The 18467-nt window shown below is 42.7% G+C and overlaps 1 protein-coding gene across 6 annotated transcripts in view; it reads right to left on the bottom strand.

Moving 5' to 3' along the window:
- PAPPA2 (pappalysin 2) overlaps window positions 1–18467 on the bottom strand; it is a 382427-nt gene that overhangs the window by 306084 nt on the left and 57876 nt on the right. For 2 of the 6 annotated variants that reach the window (XM_047427180.1, XM_017002023.2), the window contains one exon: window positions 2169–2254. The exons of the other annotated variants lie outside the window; for them this stretch is intronic. The gene's annotated coding sequence lies outside the window, so the exon portion shown is untranslated. The remainder of the gene's footprint in view (window positions 1–2168; window positions 2255–18467) is intronic. 6 annotated transcript variants of the gene reach the window in all.

Genomic DNA, 18467 nt, shown 5'->3' with positions numbered 1-18467 from the left:
CCTTCCCTTATTTAGCTGTATGTCCCTAGGGCCTAGAACAGAGCCGGGACAACAAAATAGGAGCCACAGTAAATGTTTGTAGAACTAAACAGGAATAGAGGCCATGTGTAAGGGATTTCCTCTGCTGAGGGTGGCATCTGTGGCTCCTGCTGGATCAGGCCACCATGACATGAGCCTGTGCTTCACTTCATGTGCCTTCAACCTGCCCCTGGCAACCGCCTCTCTGGCTGGACCCCATACAATTTATTCAGCCCCAGCTCATACCCTACGTTCCATACAAATCCTGGCAGCCAGATGAGGAAATTGGAGCGACTCCTGAGTCATTTAAGCTCTGCTGTCAGAATGATTCTCGTCTGCCTAACTGCACCAGCACCCGGGCATTTGAACTGGATGAAAGGGTTTGGTGAGGGGATTATCCAGAAGGGAAATAAAAGACTTTACTTAGCACCTATTAAACTTGAATCTCCGTTTCACTCATCAGTATGTGAGCCTTAGAACCAGCCATGGAATTAGCATGTGGGTGAAAGGAAAAGGGCTCAGAGATGACTGAAGCCTCATCATGAATCTGAGGGATAATCCTTAAAGGTTATGTCAACAGCCATAATTTTAACCAAAACTTTTTAAATCTGTGAGGCCAAGCAAAAACAGGCTATAAGACTGTCAGAACCAGGATCTCAGCTGGCTTCTTTTATGAGTCTGCCTTTTAAAGACCCATGAATGAAGAGCTGGCAGTAGGGTTTATAGGTGGCTTGAATTTGTGGGATATTGTCTAGTGATGAGGCAAAGAAACTTTTAAAGGAGATTGCCTGAGTGTGAATTCTGCTGAGGAAACTTGGGCCACCATGGGTGGAGATGGGGAAAGGAATGAAGAAAGAGACTGAAGAAAACTGAGAGAAACAAAAAAGAAACGGAGAAAGGTTATACGTTCCATTTCTCCCCCTCCTCTCTAAAAGCAATCATGAGACCTTGTTCAGCGGAAAATCTAACTTGGTTTGACTTCAGGAAGAAATCTGAATTGGAAGAGTGGATCAAGGCACAGACCTTGGCATGATTCTGATGTGGTTCTAGAGCCTGGCATTGTCATCTACTCTCAATGTGACCTTGGATGAATGCCTTCACCTCCCCACATCTTCATTTCCACTTCTATACATGGAGAAAGTACAGCACTGACCACACTGGTGGTTGTGAAGATTAAATAAAATAAATGTGAAGTGCTTGGTTCACTCCTGACACCTAACACATGCTCAAGACATGTGAAGAGTGATGGTCCTGGGGTCCATCCCAACTGTTGGGGAAGTGAATGGGAAAGGAGAAAGGGGAGATTTGGAAGAGGTAATCCTGACACTTGAGAGTGTGTATGAACGGAATGAAATGGTAGGAAGAGAAGGTGAGAAATCATGAGGTCAAAACAAGGTTTGTAACACTCTGGATTACTATATTGAGAAGGTGAATAAGCAGAGTTGAGGCGAGAGTCTTCCTTAAAGCTTTTCAGGGTCTCAAAGGAGAGAGAGAGGGAGAGAGAGAAAGAGAGAGAAATATAGTAGGTCTGGCTGAATGGTTGGATTCAGGACACATAACTCCAGTAGAAGAAGGAATCCATGAAACATGAGATTAAATTATGCAGGGGTGGGTGGAGATGAAAGAAGCAACAGAAGTCCAAGTAGCCAAGAGGGTAAAAGGCAGAAAGATCAAGATGACATTATGGGTCTGAGTATCAGGGCCAGGGTCCCAGAGGTCACAGCGTTAACACACACACGTACATACACACACACACACACACACACACACACACACACACTCCATACCTACTGCCTTGAAACGGACATCTTGTTTACTTTCTCTTTTCAGCCAAAAGTCAAAAGACTTGGCTCCTTAACTGCTCAACAAAGAAGGAAAATAAGTTTTAGAACAGAGGACTTGGTGCATGGACAAGGTGCAAGGTCTATTCCATTCTGTACACCTTCTTTGATGCGCCAGGCACATGTGTAGGAATTTTAAAACATGTCAGAGTATAGAATTTATTGAGCATCTGTTGTCTTCAGAGGACCCATTTAAAATACATGCCAGATGAATTGGCGTGAAAGGAACTAAAGTCTTAAGGGACTAATTAGAAAGCATTGGATACAGAGTTGCAAGATGGTACAGCATAGATGATGACATTTCAGTACCTTCACTTTCTAACACGTGAGCCTTGTCCACTGCCTTGAGAGGAGTAGGGCTGGGGAGCAACCAGTGGGTGTCCATTGAGTCAGCCCTGGGGAACAGAATTAAATCCATACCATGTATACTCAGAGCAAAGGAGCAATTAGAGTACAAAATTATTTCAACAACATGCTTACCCTTCATTATTAGCCAGGTCTAGGAGAATCTATAAAGAAAGTTTCCTTTAGAAAACAAATCTCTAGGAAAATATCTGGTCTACCTCAATGGGGCCATGAATGGAGAAAGTATGTTATGAAGGCTGAATGCATGGGCTCTGGAATTAAATAACTAAGGTTCACACAGAACTCTACCAAATGCTATGTCTATGCCCTAAGCCTCAGGCCTCATTCTCAAAATCAGAATGATAATTGTACCTCTCTCATAGGGTTATGAACTGATTAAATGAGATAATATGTGACAAGAGCTTAGCACAGTGCCCGTGTAGAGCCTACATATCCAATGCCATTTGTGGTGTATTGCTTCATGGTTCCAATTCTTTACTCTTTCCTGGATTGGACTTTGCTATGCCCTCCCACTCGGACTCTGGGCTTGGTCAGTGGGATGTTAGCAAATGTGACCAAGCAGATGCTTGAAAAGTGCATGCAAGATTGGGCATGCTTTCTCTTGCTGCTTTGCCATGGTCTTGAGAAGATGCCCAGGTTAACCTGCTGGAGAATGAGAACCATGGAACAGTAAGGAGTGCTCCTGGTCATCCCAGTTGAGGCCTTTCTAGATCTAGCCAATGCCCACACAGGTAACCAAATCTAACCTAGATCAGCAGAGCCACTCAGCCAACCTGCAGCCAACCTTGGAAGCATGAACTAGTCTAGCCAAGGTCAGCCAAGTCAGATCACCTAAACCCCACAGACTCATGAGCTAAATAAATCTATACCATGTGTGTCAGTGAGGTTTTGTATAAGATTGTTATGTAGCATGATTGTGGCAACAGATAACTGAACATGTTGTTCAGCATCAATGTTGTTACTGTCATTATTATTACAGTCATTACTTTTAAGAGGAGTGCAGAAAAGCTCACCCGGACCCTACCTAGCAGTCCAGGGCAAAATATCTTTCTCACAACTTGTTATTCTTTCCAGAGAGAGAAAAGAAAACATTAGACAAAGCAAGTAAGTGACTGCTTCCTCAGAACTTTGTGCCTTGTTTTCCTGACAGGTTGTTGCTAATGATGCTATTATTTTTTTGTGAGTAGAGATACCCGTGACAGGGGAACCTCACAGGCTGTTATGATGAATTGTTAATTAGCTTAATTAGTGAGGAGCAGAGAGCTTCTTCCATCAGCTGAGATGCTAGCCATGTATGTTTTCCCTGGGACGTTACAGTGTGAGGTTCTAAAAAAGCACTTGTCAGGAGACCATCAAAATCGAAGGCACAAAGTGGAACATGTCCTGGGGCTTCCTGCCTTCACTTTCACATAGTGACAGGCAGCACTTACTCTGTGCCAGGCCCTATGATAAGCACTATTTGTGCAATATCTCATATATTCCTCACAAAAATATGAAAGGCAAGAATTACTCTTAGCCCCAATATATACATGAGAAAACTAGAGGACTAGAGAAGTGACACAAACTTTTCCAAGCCCACATGGCTAGTATGTGATATCACTGAGATTAGAACTAGGTCTGTCTGATCCCATTCTCATAGCTGCTATAGATACTGCTTCTCTGGCCCCACACTGCACCCTCTTCCTCTGGCCTGGTGCTCTTCTGCTCTCTGTCTCCTGTAAAAACCTGTTCTCAGAAGAAACCAGAATACTGGCCCCCACATCTCTCATGTGCCTTTAGGATACCACACTCCTTTTCCCAAGCTATTTGTGTATTATGTCTCTGTTATCAGTACAGTTAGTTATCTGTAAAGGAGAGCAAACTCAAAAAAGTAGTAGAGAAAGTGTGGTAGAAAATGTCGAATTCCGCTCTTACAAAAATGAAATCTAGAGGTTAGCAAAATAGGGTGGGTATGGGCTTCCCAGTCATCTGGAATCTGGGTTCCCTCTCTCTTTTTGCTCTACAACCTCAACACATGCTTCTGCCTCATAGTGCAACATGGCTACTAGAGCTCCAGCTATCACATCCACATTCTAGCCAGCAGTAAGGAAGAAAGGAGAAGAGAACATGCCCCTTTCTTCTGAGGACACTTTTTTCGCACATTTTATTCTTTTATCCTTTACCTCTTTTTTGCTTCCTTCTTCCCATTTTTCTCCACCCTGTAGGAAGCTGATTCATTCCTTGGCACTCTCTATTTTGTATTGCAACCTTCTACAGTCTCCCTCTGGTTCTCTAATTCCTGATGGGAACCAGAGCACAAGGAACACAGGGAAGAGTAATTTTGGATCCTCTCGCACCCCAGTAAGCAAGACATTCAGCAATTTGCAAAGGATTTGAGTGTAGTTCAAGCAGGATTCCCAGAGCTAAGCATCTCTATTCCAACTGTTTGCTAACCTTCCTTCTTCTCCTTCATTCTTCTTTCAAGATACCCTCAAAGCCACATCTCTATATACTTCCAGTTGAAGCACATGATTCACAAAGTTTTAGGAGTCTCCATTAGAAATGGATACCCATGAGAAAGCTGCTCTGAATCTGGAACTCTTGCTACTCTCAGAGATAAACCGCATTGCTTCTCTCAAGCACACACCTCTCATATACTCCATTCAGACTAGCCACAGCTCATGTTGATATTGGCTTTCTTGTAGTTAGCAGTCCTAAGTAAGATGATTCCCTCCTAGTTGTGAGCCTATTCTATCTGTTATCAAATATCTTCAAATGTGTTCATTATTTTCTTACCTCTTTCTTATCTAAAGGCAGCCGATCCTTACAATACATTCTTTTCCTGTTCTAGGCAGCCAGAATTGCTCTTCCAATCTGGGCAGATTTTAACCACTGTCTTGCTGAGGCTGTGGGAAGCTAGGGATCATGGATACTGAGAGAGGTCGGGACTGGAATAGAAGCAAATGAGTAGGCTGGGCCCAGAGAACACAGAGAAATTAGCAGTCAACTCAGACTCTAACATTAGAACCTGGGAAAAACAGGCAGGGAGCTAATGGGAATCCAATATCCTGGGGTGACAGGGGAGAAATGCTAGGAGGTACCAGAACATGGGATAATTCTGACAGAAGCTACTTTTCCCTACTGCTTCCTGTGGGTACGGTTCTCCAGATCAGTGCTATCCAATAATAGCCCTTTGTATAATTTTAAATTTTCTATTAGCCATATTTTAGAAGAAGTAAAAAGAAACATTATATAAAAATTTTGTATAATCAAATACGTATATCCAAAATATTATCATTTCAAAATGTAAGTCAACATTTAAAAATGATTAATGAGACAGTTTACATTCTTTTATATGAGCTAAGTCTGCAAAATCTGGTGTGTATTTTACACTATGGCAAGTCTCTGTTCAGACTAGCAGCATTTCAAGAACTCAATAGCTACGTGCAGCTAGTGGCTGCTCTGTTGGACAGCATAGGCCTACACCCTTTCTGTTCAAAGTGTGGTCCAGAGAGCAGCACCATCAGCATCACCTGACAGCTTGTTAAAATTGCTGAATCGAGGGCCATTCCACTGAATTAGAATTTGCATTTTCACAAGCTCTTCAAGTGATAGGTACATTCAAGATTGAGAAATGCTGCTGTAGGCAAAGGCAGAATCCATGTAGAAGGAAGTTTTAGGTGACGAGTGTTTATGAAGGTATAACCATGGCTGTAGAAGTGGCAGGGAGGAGGTACAAAACATCCTCACGCCTCCAGCTAGTTGGTCAAAGAAAAGTAATTTAAATAGCACTACAGTTGAATAACAAATAGATCCAGAAGGAGTGGTCTGAAGAAACAAAACACTTATCTTAGTATCTCAGCAGTAGCTGAAGACCTTTCAGTTGTCCAGCACTATGGGCTCAGCTTCAATAAAATGGCTTATGGTGATGGTGACCGTGACCTAGTCCTTTGCCAAGGCAGAATCTATGGACAGAGTCACAGGGAATATTTCAAGCAGAACCATGTACTTGCTCCCAAAATAATTTCTTCAACACTCTGCCAAGGTGCCTAAAATTCTTAGCATTTGACTCACACCTTTGGATTGAGGTGTTATTTCCAGAAAGCCTCTGGCAATGTGCAAAGTTCACCCCTGAAGAGGGAGGCTCATAGGCTTACCTACACCATGTTCAGAATTTGTTTTGCAGGACACAGGCAGGAGGAAAGGAGTAGAAAACCAAAGCTTTGACAGGAATAAGGGAAAGTTTTGAGTTACAAAGCAAGCAAAGAATGACCCTGAGGAAGGGCAGAGGGGCTGCAGAGAGGAATCAAATAGAAACCTCAACAATCCTGATGTGCCTCACTGTGAACCACCCACAAGATTGCCATGGGCAAATCTAGAGTGAGCAGGGGGGCTGGAAGCCTAGTGCAGGGTGCCCACAGGGGGTGGGCAATAGGTGTGTGTGGAATTGAGTGATTATACTGATGCTGAGCATCAGAGATGGAGACAGACACAGAGGCAGAGGTGGATCTAGGGAGCCGAGAACAAAGTCAGGTCAGGCCACATAAAAAACATGACATGACGTGGCTGTGTGAGTGTCAGGCATGCCTGGAAGCAGCCAGAATCACACCCTTACTGCGTCTGAAGTGAGAGAGTGATGCTGCGTTGACCCACACCATGTGGGGACAGGAAGCTGGGTTGCCTTTTGGCCCTTGTTGTGATTAAAGGTGAGTACCCAGGAAGGGTATACACGTAAGACTTCCCCTGGCACACATTTGTTACCCACGGCCAGAAGGAGAATCAAACAAACACTGTTTAAGCAGGTGCCTTTTTCCGAATGAAATTGCGTGTGTTATTTTTAATATCTCTTGTCCATCTGCTTTGGTTGTTTCCTCTGGCCCAGATGGGAAAGCTCCGTCACATTACCTGGACGCAGATTTGACCATGCAGTCACCTTCGCAGAGCTGCAGGGACGTGCTTGGCTTCCCTAATACACAAACCCCAGGAAGTATAAATAGAAATGTTGCTTTTATTTGTAGATTTAATGCTTATGGGGAAGCTGGCTCAGAGGCATAAAAGCTTACCTCTTCCAATTCACTGAACTTTGGGCCCATAATTCTTGCAGTTCAGAAAATTAAATAGAGGTCAGCAATTTATGCCTAAGGTACCGGAGGTAGAGAGAGGGAGCAGGGCTATTAAACCCGGCAAATGTGCTTATGTGTTTTCAATTTTCTCTTGTTATTTCTGCCGGGGTCTTCCACAACCAAATTGCTGCTGGTTTATGGACTGAAAAACCTCGGAGTGAGAGACAGCTTTTCTTCAGCACCACTGCCAAAATGTCAGGGCCAGTTCTTGAGCCCCAGGCAGCCCTTACACAGGAGGCCTCTAGGAAGCCCAGTTCCCAAGAAATGGATGTGCTATCATTAACACCAACTGTCAGTCAGTGCCCACATGTGCCAGAGAGCCAGTGAACATTCAGTATGAGTGCTATAAAATACTAAAGAGTACTCGTTTCATTTTATATTTGTGTCTTTTAAATTTTTTAACTGATCTGTTTACCATTCCCACTTCAGTTGGGAAGAGAATCCTGGGGATCTGTGTAAAGAGAAATACTGACATCTAGACCCCCTAACCAAAGTCAGATATCAGTTGCTTGTTCAACAGTGACCTCAGCATGTCCTTGTAAGGAGTTGCCACAAATGCTAGAAAGGAAACCATCTCAGTTACTGTTCTTCATGAAGGTGGAACAGTGGCCGGTTTGCTTGATAAAATTGATTGAAAATCTAGACACTATGGGAAAACTTGAAACAGACAAATACTACATCCAGAAAGTCATCAGTGCTATCCCAGCACCTAGGATAGGTTCTCAGTAAATATTGATTAATTCTCAGAATATAATTCCAGGATTATGGCCATCTTTATGTCATGGTATAAGCATTCTATACACCCTAGCGCCCAGACAGAGCCTTTTCTCAGATCCCAGCCTTGTTCAGGAAGTCGTGTGTCCCACAGCCTTGGACTTTGATACAATACACTGAAAACCAATGATGGTGAACCTTGAACATCCCACAGGAGCAAGCTGGACTGACTTACATCAACATTAATGAAGAGCTACTGGAAACAGGCAGAATCCAAGTTGGATCTGGCTTGCCTGCCTGCTGCTAGAAACTGTGTTGGTGTGAACACTCCTGTTTACATCAAAAGAGCTCCATATTTGCTTGGCAAATAATTCAATACAAATTAGAACATTCAGTTCCAGTTTGGCCTGGTAGCCTCATGTAGACAGAACTAAAACTTTGGTTGTCTTTTATGAACTACCAAAGTGGCCTGAGATATTGTGCTTAATGAGACTTTCATGTGGTCATAGAATTGATTCTCCCAGTTGGAAGCAAGAAGTAGAAATGTACAAATGTAGGGATAAAAAGAAAAGAAAAAATGCATAAATTTCCTTAGTCTTATCAAATTTGGGTTCCAGTGTTCAGACCCTATTTTCCATACCAATTCAACCCCCATCTCTAAGGGAACTCCATGAAATGTATGCCCCTAATATAGAATTATGTCATTTTTCCAACTCATGTAATTTATCAATTGAAAAGTGAAGATCCAGAGACTTTAAATGATTTTTCCAAGACCACAGAGCTATTTGGTGGATGTTGCTGTTTCTTAGTCTCAGCTTCTTTCTACCACATAATTTAAGGGGAAAAGAAGAGTTCTACAGATTTTTTTTTTTTGCATGAGATGAATATATTTCTACAAACTTACTGAAGATGGATTGCTTTATTTTTGATTTAACAAGACCTAAAAATGGACAATAGTTACCAAGTGTTCTCTAGGCACAAAGTAAGCCAGGATCTCTAGAGGATGGGATGCTGACTTCTGGAGTTGTTTTTTTCTTTTTAATTAATTAATCGATTTCTAATTGGCTTGGCCCTTGCTTGTGTTCCTCACTGTTCCTGTCCCATTGAGTAACTGTGTGGGTTAAAGCAGTCTTCTAAGTTTTCTTAAAAAGTAGATGAGTCTTAAGCTTCACAGAGTTCATAGCTCCTGACTTTAGCCAAAGGTCAAAGCCCAAGGAAAATGTGAGGTTTTAACCTGTCTTCCTTGAAATTGTGACTTGTAGGTTTGGCCATTCCAAATGACTGGGAAAATCATGTCTCCCTGGGACTGTAGGCAGCAGCCAGGACCCTGGGCCTCCTGATTTATGTTTCAAGAGCAGGTAGCCTGCCAGCCCTGTTGAATTGTGAGCTTTATTTATCTTCTCTTGTGGCCCCTATCACATGCCCACTTGCAAAAACGAAAGAGAGAGAATGTGTGTGAAGTAATGTTGTTGAGGTTTTTAGCTGGTCCCTGTACATTAAGCTTTGGAATATCTCCAGTCCATTGGTATTGCTTCTCCTGGCATCAAAGAAGGGATTAGAGGAGAAAAACTCTTTAAAAATATGGCACAGATGGCAAAAAATCAGGGGGAAAAAAACTTGGCCTCAAGAGACAGTAAGTAGCAAAACGCATGCAAACTTGCTGATAAAAAAGGCAAGTGGCCATCTTGAAGGTTTAAAAAAAAAAAGCTGGTGATGGATCACCATGCTGCCAAACGTTCCACGGTATTGAAAACAGAGCTAGCCACAAAATCATTTTTCTCCAGGTGTCCTGTTTGGGATGGAGAATGCAACGTCAGGGCACATTTGGAAGAGATGTGTGTGTGGCAAGGGAAGGCAGCACTGGGCTCTTGCTGAGCACCAGCTTGTGCAGTAGCTCTCTTGAGCTAATAGGTGCTCTCCTTCCCTCCTCCTCCCCTTGCCCCAGCATAGAAGAAAATGCCATATAACCTTATGTAACTGACATCCCCAGTACTTCAAAGTGTGGATCTCGGTGAAATCGGCAGCCAGGAGATCAGATCCAAAGCATTCCCCTAATTGTCTGCCTCCCTTAGTTTACTAAAGGCTGGAAGGAGAGCTTCAGAGTGGGCTTTCAAACCACAGGGCAATGTGTTCCAACACTTGGATAAAGGTCAGAGAGATCAGTTTCTGGCTCGTTCTGAGACTTTCAGGGACACTCAGAAATGGGCTGCTGGCTGCACTCTCTCACCTCTATTTCTATCGTCTCTTTTTTTCCCACCTGATTTTCCTCAAATGCACTTCACCAAATTAGCTTTTGTCCCAGTTCTGAGTCACACTCTAGGGAAAATCTAAAGACTTCCTTTTCTCCTTAATTCTTCCACTGCATTTCAACAAATATTTATAAAGTGTCTATTCTGTGCAGATTGCTATGCTAGGTTATTTTGGAGGCTACAAAATAAAATGCATGGTCTGCTTCCTGCCCACAAGTAACTTGGAATCCAATAAGCAAGACAAGCTATTGTGGCAATAACTGGATGCAAGGTGCTTTTAACTGCAGGGAATCATAAAAGGGAAGGATCAAGGAAGGCTTCACGAGGATTTGAAGGATGGCAGCGTCTTGATAAGGTAGGTTGGAGGAAAGGGCATTCCAGGGAGAAGGCATGGCAAAGTAGACACACATGGTGGGGGAAGCATGAAGTAGCCTTGCTTGGAGAAGGAAAAGGTATGTGGAAGAAATCATGGACTGTAGACCTGAGAGAAGATAGGTTAGGGCTGAAACCAGGGAAGTCTTGAATGTGAGACTAAGAAATTTGGACTGGAGGGAAGGGAAATTGGTGCCGTATGTAAATCAAATCAATCAGATGAAACAACAAAAGACAGAATTGTGAATGATTGCATATCTAAAAGTCCACTTGAATGGACAAATTACTTCTCATTCAGTGTTTGGGGCCACTATGCCTCCTAAGGGAAAGAAACCAACATTTGGGCCAGACACACCTGTATTCAAATGGTAGTTCTATTATTTAGCTGTGGGCCTTTGGGCAAGTCTTTTGAAGCTGATATGAATTTGCTCACCTCCTTAGGTATAAGAAACATCACATTGCCTCTTTCTTCAAGTCAAATTAAATCTAGCTCTGGATCTCCAAAAGAAAGCAAGAAATGTATTCTCTATCATGTGTAAGGGGATCAGGGGATGAGCTGCCCTCCATAGGAAAGTTCAAAAATCTCAGGAGAGTATAGTCACCAGACTATGAGGAAGGGCTTCTGCTCTTCAGTCTATCTTGGACCACTTGAGTTCTTAATGTCGGAGCCCTCAGGGTCCATTTGAATGCAGAACCATTCAAATGCAGTCCAATTGAATGCAGCCCATTTGAATGCAGGGTCCATTTGAATGCCAAGCTTGGCATGATGCTCTTTCACTATAAATCCTCAGATATGGCAGTAGAGTGGCCAACTGTCATGGTTTACCCAGGACTAAAGGGGTTTCCATGATGCAGGACTTTGGGTTTTAAAACCAGAAAAGTCCAGGACAAGTTGAAATGAGTTGGCCATGCCTGGCATTCAATGTCCACCAAACCAATGGCTCTCACATCTACTCCATCAGAAGCTCTGTTCCCGCACAGAGGTCTGTCAGGGAGCTGGGCAGAGCTGCCAGCCTTCAATGGACTTGCTTCTACCCTCCTATCTCTCAGTGCCAGTTCTGCCCCTTTAAATCAAAGCACCAGTCTTGGTGGAGGGTTTCTTCTGAATGGAAACTTCTTTTTGGCTCTAAAACAGTCATCAAATAACACTAGGGACACAGGGGTCTAGAAATCTGAATATATAGGCTTAGCCATTCTACCTGCAGGTGAGAGGAATAGAGTGTGGGGGCAAAACCAAAGGAACAAATAGCTCTTTTATTCTTCTGAGATATTAACCAATCATTCAGCCCAAAACATATGCAGTGAGCATATACTCTGTGCCAGGCCCTGTGATAGATGCTTGGCATACAGGGAGAAAAAGACAGACAATAGCTCTCTCCTCATGGAACTTACATTCTATCTATCTTTATCCTGAAGCAAGACAGAAGTAGGAAGAAACATCTCAAAAAATTATCCACCTACAAACTTACACTTGATGAGCCTTAATTTCCTCATCTCCAGTGTGGAGATGATAACACATACCTCACAGAGTTGTCATTGGGTCAAATGTGATAATGCAGGTTAAGCCCTCACTATAGAGCCTGTCACATAGGACTCTGCACAATATGGCTGTGGTGGCATCCACTGGCTTTCTGGACTTGCTATTTGAAGCTACAACCTGTTCTTCTTCGATACAATATCTTTCACCTCTGCTAAACTTTTGCTGCATTTCTAAAGACTCTTTAGGTTTAAATAGTTTTATTCAAGACACGCATAGTGGCTCATGCCTGTAATCCTAGCACTTCAGGAGGCCAAGGCAGGAGAATTGCTTGAGCCCAGGAGTTCAAGTACAGCACAGCCTGGGCAACATAATGAGACCCCATCTCTACAAAAAGAAGTTTAATAAAAACAAATTAAAAAGTAAAAATAAAAAGTTGTATTGAGCACCATTGCCAGATACCTTTACATATGTTATCTCATATTATTCCCATTTCACAGGGGAAGAATCTCTGGCGGGACAAGCATTTAGTTTATGTCACACAATTAGGCAGAAAGTGAGACTTGAATTCATTTCTTCCAACCTCAAGCCCTGTGCCATGTCACTCTCCTAGTAGCTCCTGTGAAAGACCTCTTCCTTTTGCCCACTGGCTTAGGGATCTCAGATCAAAAATTGTCATTACAGTTGCAGAGGTGTGGAACAAGGGGAGGGCAGCTTTATTAGTCAGGGGAAGCTCTCTGCTGTAGCAAATCACCCCGAAACCTCAGTGTCTTAACTCAGTAAAAGGTTTTCTCCCCACAAGATCATCTACTGAGGGTCCACACAATCATTCAGAGACCCAGCTCCCTCCACAGTAGCTCTCCTTCCATGTGGTACTGTCATCTTCTAGGGCTTTTTCCTTTGCTGCATTCAGCCTACAGATGGCAAAAGAGAACAAGCCCAAAGGATTACACTGGAGCTTCTTAAAGTGCTAAACTTGGAAGTGGAACATACCAGTTTTGCCCATATTCCACTGGCCACAACTCTGTCACATGGTCACACCTAACTGCAAGGGATGCTGGGAAACATAGGGTAGCTGTGTGGTCATGAGAAACAGCAATGGGTTTAGTGGATACAAAGCAGTCTTTTCCACAGCCGGCAATGGCCCCAGCATTTACATAGCAGCAATCTCCTGGAGATGGTCAACTCTTGGAACACTCTATCCACAAAATGGAGGACTCCAGAGACCATTTTCTTTTCAGGGTTGTTGCAAGGAGTAGAGGAATCCATAAACAGCTTCAGAGTTATTGTAAGCCCTCAGTCAGCAGTCACCAAGGAGAGGCAACAGGGTATAGTGAGGCAAACATGGCCTCAAGAGCTTCAGGTCACTGGGCAGCTTTTATAACCTCCATAAGCATGGAGCTTCATCGTAAAATACAGATCCTAGCAGCCCACCTCTACTCAGGAGAAGAACAGGGAAGATCACCTAAAACTAGAACTGGTTCAAAATTCCAAAGTAGAGGATTACCTAAAACCATTCAGAGAGATTGAACACGCAAGAAATACACTGTTAGTGGAAGAACCAGGTGAATACCTGCAGCAAGAAGTGTAACTTTCAGAGGGACCCAGACTTCCCTCTCAAAAGCGACCTGGCTGTACCCTCAATGGGCCTCTGCCACATGATTGATTTCTAGAAAATTTCCAGTAACTAGGAATTTTGAAATTTCAGTTGTATTTTAAAGATTAAGGTAGTGTTTTTCAAACCTGTCTGTATATCAGAATTGTCTGAGGAAATTTTCAAAATTACAGTGGAAGTGGGGCCCAGAAATCTGGATTTTTTTTAATGTTCTCCAGGTGATTCTAAGGTAGTCATACCGGCATTTTTCCATTAACCTCATTAGGAGCCACTATCCTAAGGTACTGAAAGAAATCCTGAACATCTTTTTGACATTCCTGTTTAACTTCTTTGTAATTATATCCTAATGTATCCTAATGTATCACATTATATCCTAATGTATCACACCTTCTGAAGTGATGAACTACACAAGCAAATGCACCAATTGTGAGTATAGGCACTTTAAACTTCACAGATAAATGCTTGAAATGAAGATATGGAACTGGTCAGAAACCAGAAGAGTCTTGCTCAACTGAGTGATTGATTCATCTATTCATTCAGCCAATCCATCAGCAAGTTATGATTGTGCCGTTTGCCAGCAACCGTACTAGGGTCTAGGAATATAAATATAAGTAAGAGATAGTTCCTATATTTCAAGAAAGAAAACCTACAGCCACAGCTTGCTTCCTTAAAGTGTCCTGTATAATGCTCCTAAAATTTTAAGGCTGTAACTTTTTTTTTTTGAGACGGAGTCTCCTTCTGTAGGCCAGGCTGGAGTGCAGTGGCGCGAACTCGGCTCACTGCAAGCTCCGCCTCCCAGATTCACGCTATTCTCCTGTCTCAGCCTCCCGAGTAGCTGGGACTACAGGCGCCCGCCATCACGCCCGACTAATTTTATTTTATTTTGTTTTTTTTGTATTTTTTTAGTAGAGACGGGGTTTCATCGTGTTAGCCAGGATGGTCTCGATCTCCTGACCTCATGATCCGCCCGCCAGGGCCTCCCAAAGTGCTGGGATTACAGGCGTAAGCCACCGCGCCCGACCAAGGCTGTAACATTTTATGAGGAGCAAATGCAGCTCCATAAGAAAGAACCAGACTTCTGCTCTCTTAATCACACCTTATTTACCTAGAAAAAAACTTCTTTACCCCATGCTGAACAGTCTCATTATTCATTAAAAGAAGATAGTGTCATACCAAAGCCTTCCTCCTTCAGGAAGTCTTTCCCAATCATCAGAGCCAAAAATAATAGTATTCTATAATATTGTTTTATTTGAGGTCACTATCCTATTTTTGCATATTTATTTTAACATCATCTTCCTTGTAGTGTTGAGTTGTTATAATGCTGTTTTCTTTGAAAATTTAAGAAAAAAATTCATTAAAATGTGCTACTCATATAGCTCTCTTTCCCATGACCTGAGGGCTGGCCCATGAAAGCCAACAGAGCAGCCAGATTCCAGCATTCTTGGACATTGTCATGGCACCATATTGCAAATTCTCCCTGCCAGAGGAGGTGCTGCCATGCTAGCCTGAGCTGAGTGCACTCTGCAGCGTATATGGCTTATTACATCAGATCTGCTATATGCCATGTGTTTATAGACAACAGTTTTAAGCCATAATGACTGAAAAAAAAAGTCTGAAAACGACAGTGCTGCAAAGAAATGCAAGAGTGCCATGCTGAATGTTAAAAGGTAAGTTTTAGAGCAGCTTGAAAATTCTTCAAGGAAATGGCCATGGATGAGAAGACAGAGAGGGAAAGTAGAGACTGGTGGGAGTTCTTTGATATATTACAGGGTCTAAAACATCACGGTCACCTAACAGGGTGGCAATCAATTGTATGAATGAGGCTGAAGGAACACTGCAGTTCACAACTTCAGAGAATCTGGAGGGAAGAGAAGAGCCATTTGCCAAGGTACAAAAGTGGGGATGTAATTCTACAGGGACTATGCCATAAGTAATCCTTATGTCTCTGATTCAGTTACAGCTCCCATTTCCACAGGGGCATCAACTTTGCTAAATGGGGTAGGTATAATTGTTTTATTTCTTCTACTGAATCATAAGCTCTTTTAACAAGGAGCCCCATGTCTTATTCATATTTGACTTCCTCGAATGTCTACTACAGAGTCATGGCAAAAAAATAAAAATTTAATGAATGAATAAATGAATTTCCAAATGAAAGAGACCACTCACTATCTCTGGTAGTCACTTAGAAAAATTGTTTAAAAAAATTAAACTCAAAAGTTGTGAGCACAGATCATTTCTGTCAGAAATTTCCCAAGTGTCAGCATCTCCCAAAGAAGACAAATAATGTTGAGCTGGTGATGAATCAGGCTTAACCTGTGAAGAGAGGCTCAAGCTTGACACAGTCTTACTTTCAGAAACCAGAGATAATCTGACAGTCTCTGGGCATTTTAAATGTGACCAGTGGAAGAATTAGGGGAAATTTAGCTACCATCCAAGGGAATAGTTCTTTCCATGCCAGATTAGAGAACAGACTTCTTGGGAAATTGGGAGGAGAAAGTGGAGGTAGGGAAAGTGGGAAAAGGCTGGTATCAGATATAGCAGCAGTTATACCTCAGACATGTGCAGACTTCACAAAAAGATGCTAGAACTCATCAGCCTACTCAATAGCTCACCAAGAACAAAACTGTTTGATTTGGTTTGGTTGAGGTGCCCCTGAAAGCTAGGCTAGAGATTCAGCCCACCCTGCCCACAGAGAAGCAAGCGCACATGTAAACAGGCATACCAAGAAGTCATATTTATCTGGTGTATCAGGGGAAACCTTGCCTGATGAATCCAGCACAATAAAAGTGGATCCTTCATGTCAAGCTAAGAAGTTGCTGTGTTTGATCCTGAGAAATGCCCACCCATGCCCCTCGTTTGCCAAAGGCCACAAGGATCCTCTGATGTCCCCCAGTCTAGCAGAGAAGGCTGATGTGGGGTGGCAGATCCTCTGTGTTGGAAGTTGCAGAAACTCTTCCCTCTTCGTCTACACAAAGTGGAAGAGTTAGAAAGAAACAACACCCTAAAGGGCACCTACCAGGACATCATCTCCCCCATCTAAGAGCAAGAAGCAAGAGGCATGGCAATGAGTCAGGTGAAGCCCAGGTTTATTATGTTTGCTTTTCCTCTTGCCTAACACTCAGAGAGAGAGAGAACAGCACTGGGCACCCTTGCAGGAAACTGCAGTGATTTGAGTAGGGCAGAGAGTGGAAGACTGATTTTATTACTATAACAACTGACATCGTAATTGTCTCTTGGGGGACAACTGTCTTTATGGACTAACATACCTAGACAAGCTGCTTAGGATGAAGGGTAAAGCGTTGAGCATAATAAGCAGATAGCTGTTCTATATGAGAAAATGAAAGGAGTTTTTTCTACTGAAAGATGGAAGGGAGAGAGAGGAACCATGACATAGAATGAGGCTCAGGCAGTACTTACAGAGTTGTCACTTGGAAAAATCTCCCCCAGCATGGCAACCAAAGGCATTTGAAGAATGAGGATAGTCTCAATTTCAATTTGAAGTCCATATTGCTACAAGTTTGAATGTTCTTCTTATACCCTCAAATTTCTTATTAGTCTGTTAGTCACAAAGATTGCTTTTATGAGTAGAAATTGTAAAAATAAAAGGAATGTTTAAATGCTGTGTTCAGGTTGATTTTAAGTGAAACAGAAACAGCATAAAAGAAACAGTGAGACTTTCCACAGATGGAGGAAGCCAGAGTTTGGATCTAGGTCTAACAAGAGGGAAATAGTTCCCCTAGAAATTCATAGTAATGTTGGGGAGTCTTCCACAGGATGTGCAAGACTTATCAGATATCAAGGAGAGGGAGGCCCTAGATAATATCAGGATTACAATACTAACATGAAAACCAGCACAGGCTGGGGTTCTCTCGTTCATGCCTTCTCATTATTGTGCACTCTAAATCTCACCTTCAGTCTCATCAAAGTCCCCCCAAATCTTTCTAGAAGTTTCTCGAAGGCATTCCTCATGCATTCTAGTATAAGGACTATCTGCCACCACTTGGTGGTCATCACTTTCCCCCCTTCCCTTGTTGCCTTGTGAGGGTGCCTGCCTCTTACCACAGGTGTAATAAGCTGGTGGCTGTCCTGCCATTCCCTTGCCAAAGCTGCACGTCAGTTAAACTATTCCCTCCAAAATATGGGAATTCCAGAGGTTTTGATTATCTGTTATTATATAACAAGCTACCTCAAAACTGAGTGGTTTAAAACACAACTTCTTATTTCTCATGATTCTTGGGTTGACTGAGCATTTCTTCTGCTTCATGTGGTGTAGGTAGGGCAGTGGGATAACTGGAAGATCAAAATGGCCTCATTCACTGTGGCTGACAGTTAATGTGGGGTGCTGCTAGGAGACTTGGTTTCCTGCTAATGGGTCTCACCATGTGGTTTCTTGGGCTTCCTCACAGGGTGGTTGCTGAGTTCCAAGAAGGAGCATTCCATGAAAGGTGAAAGCAGAAGCTGTATATTTCTGAAGACTTGGACTCAAAAGTTACATAGCATCACCTCTGCTACATTATATTGGCGAAGTCCAAGAGGAAGGAAAATAAACTTTGCTTCTTAATGGGAAGAATGGAAAAAATAAAAGGAAAATAAAAGTTGTAGTTATCTTTAATCCACTACACCGCCCTACTCTCTCTCTCTCTCTCTCTGTCTCTGTCTCTCTTTCTGACACACACACACACACACACACACTCCAGTGTTATGCTTTCTTAC

The sequence above is a fragment of the Homo sapiens genome, chromosome 1 (assembly GCF_000001405.40).
Source record: "Homo sapiens chromosome 1, GRCh38.p14 Primary Assembly".
Classification (NCBI taxonomy): Eukaryota; Metazoa; Chordata; class Mammalia; order Primates; family Hominidae; genus Homo; species Homo sapiens.
Note: the sequence above shows the minus strand (reverse complement) of the source record. Positions and strands in the feature narration are given on the sequence as shown.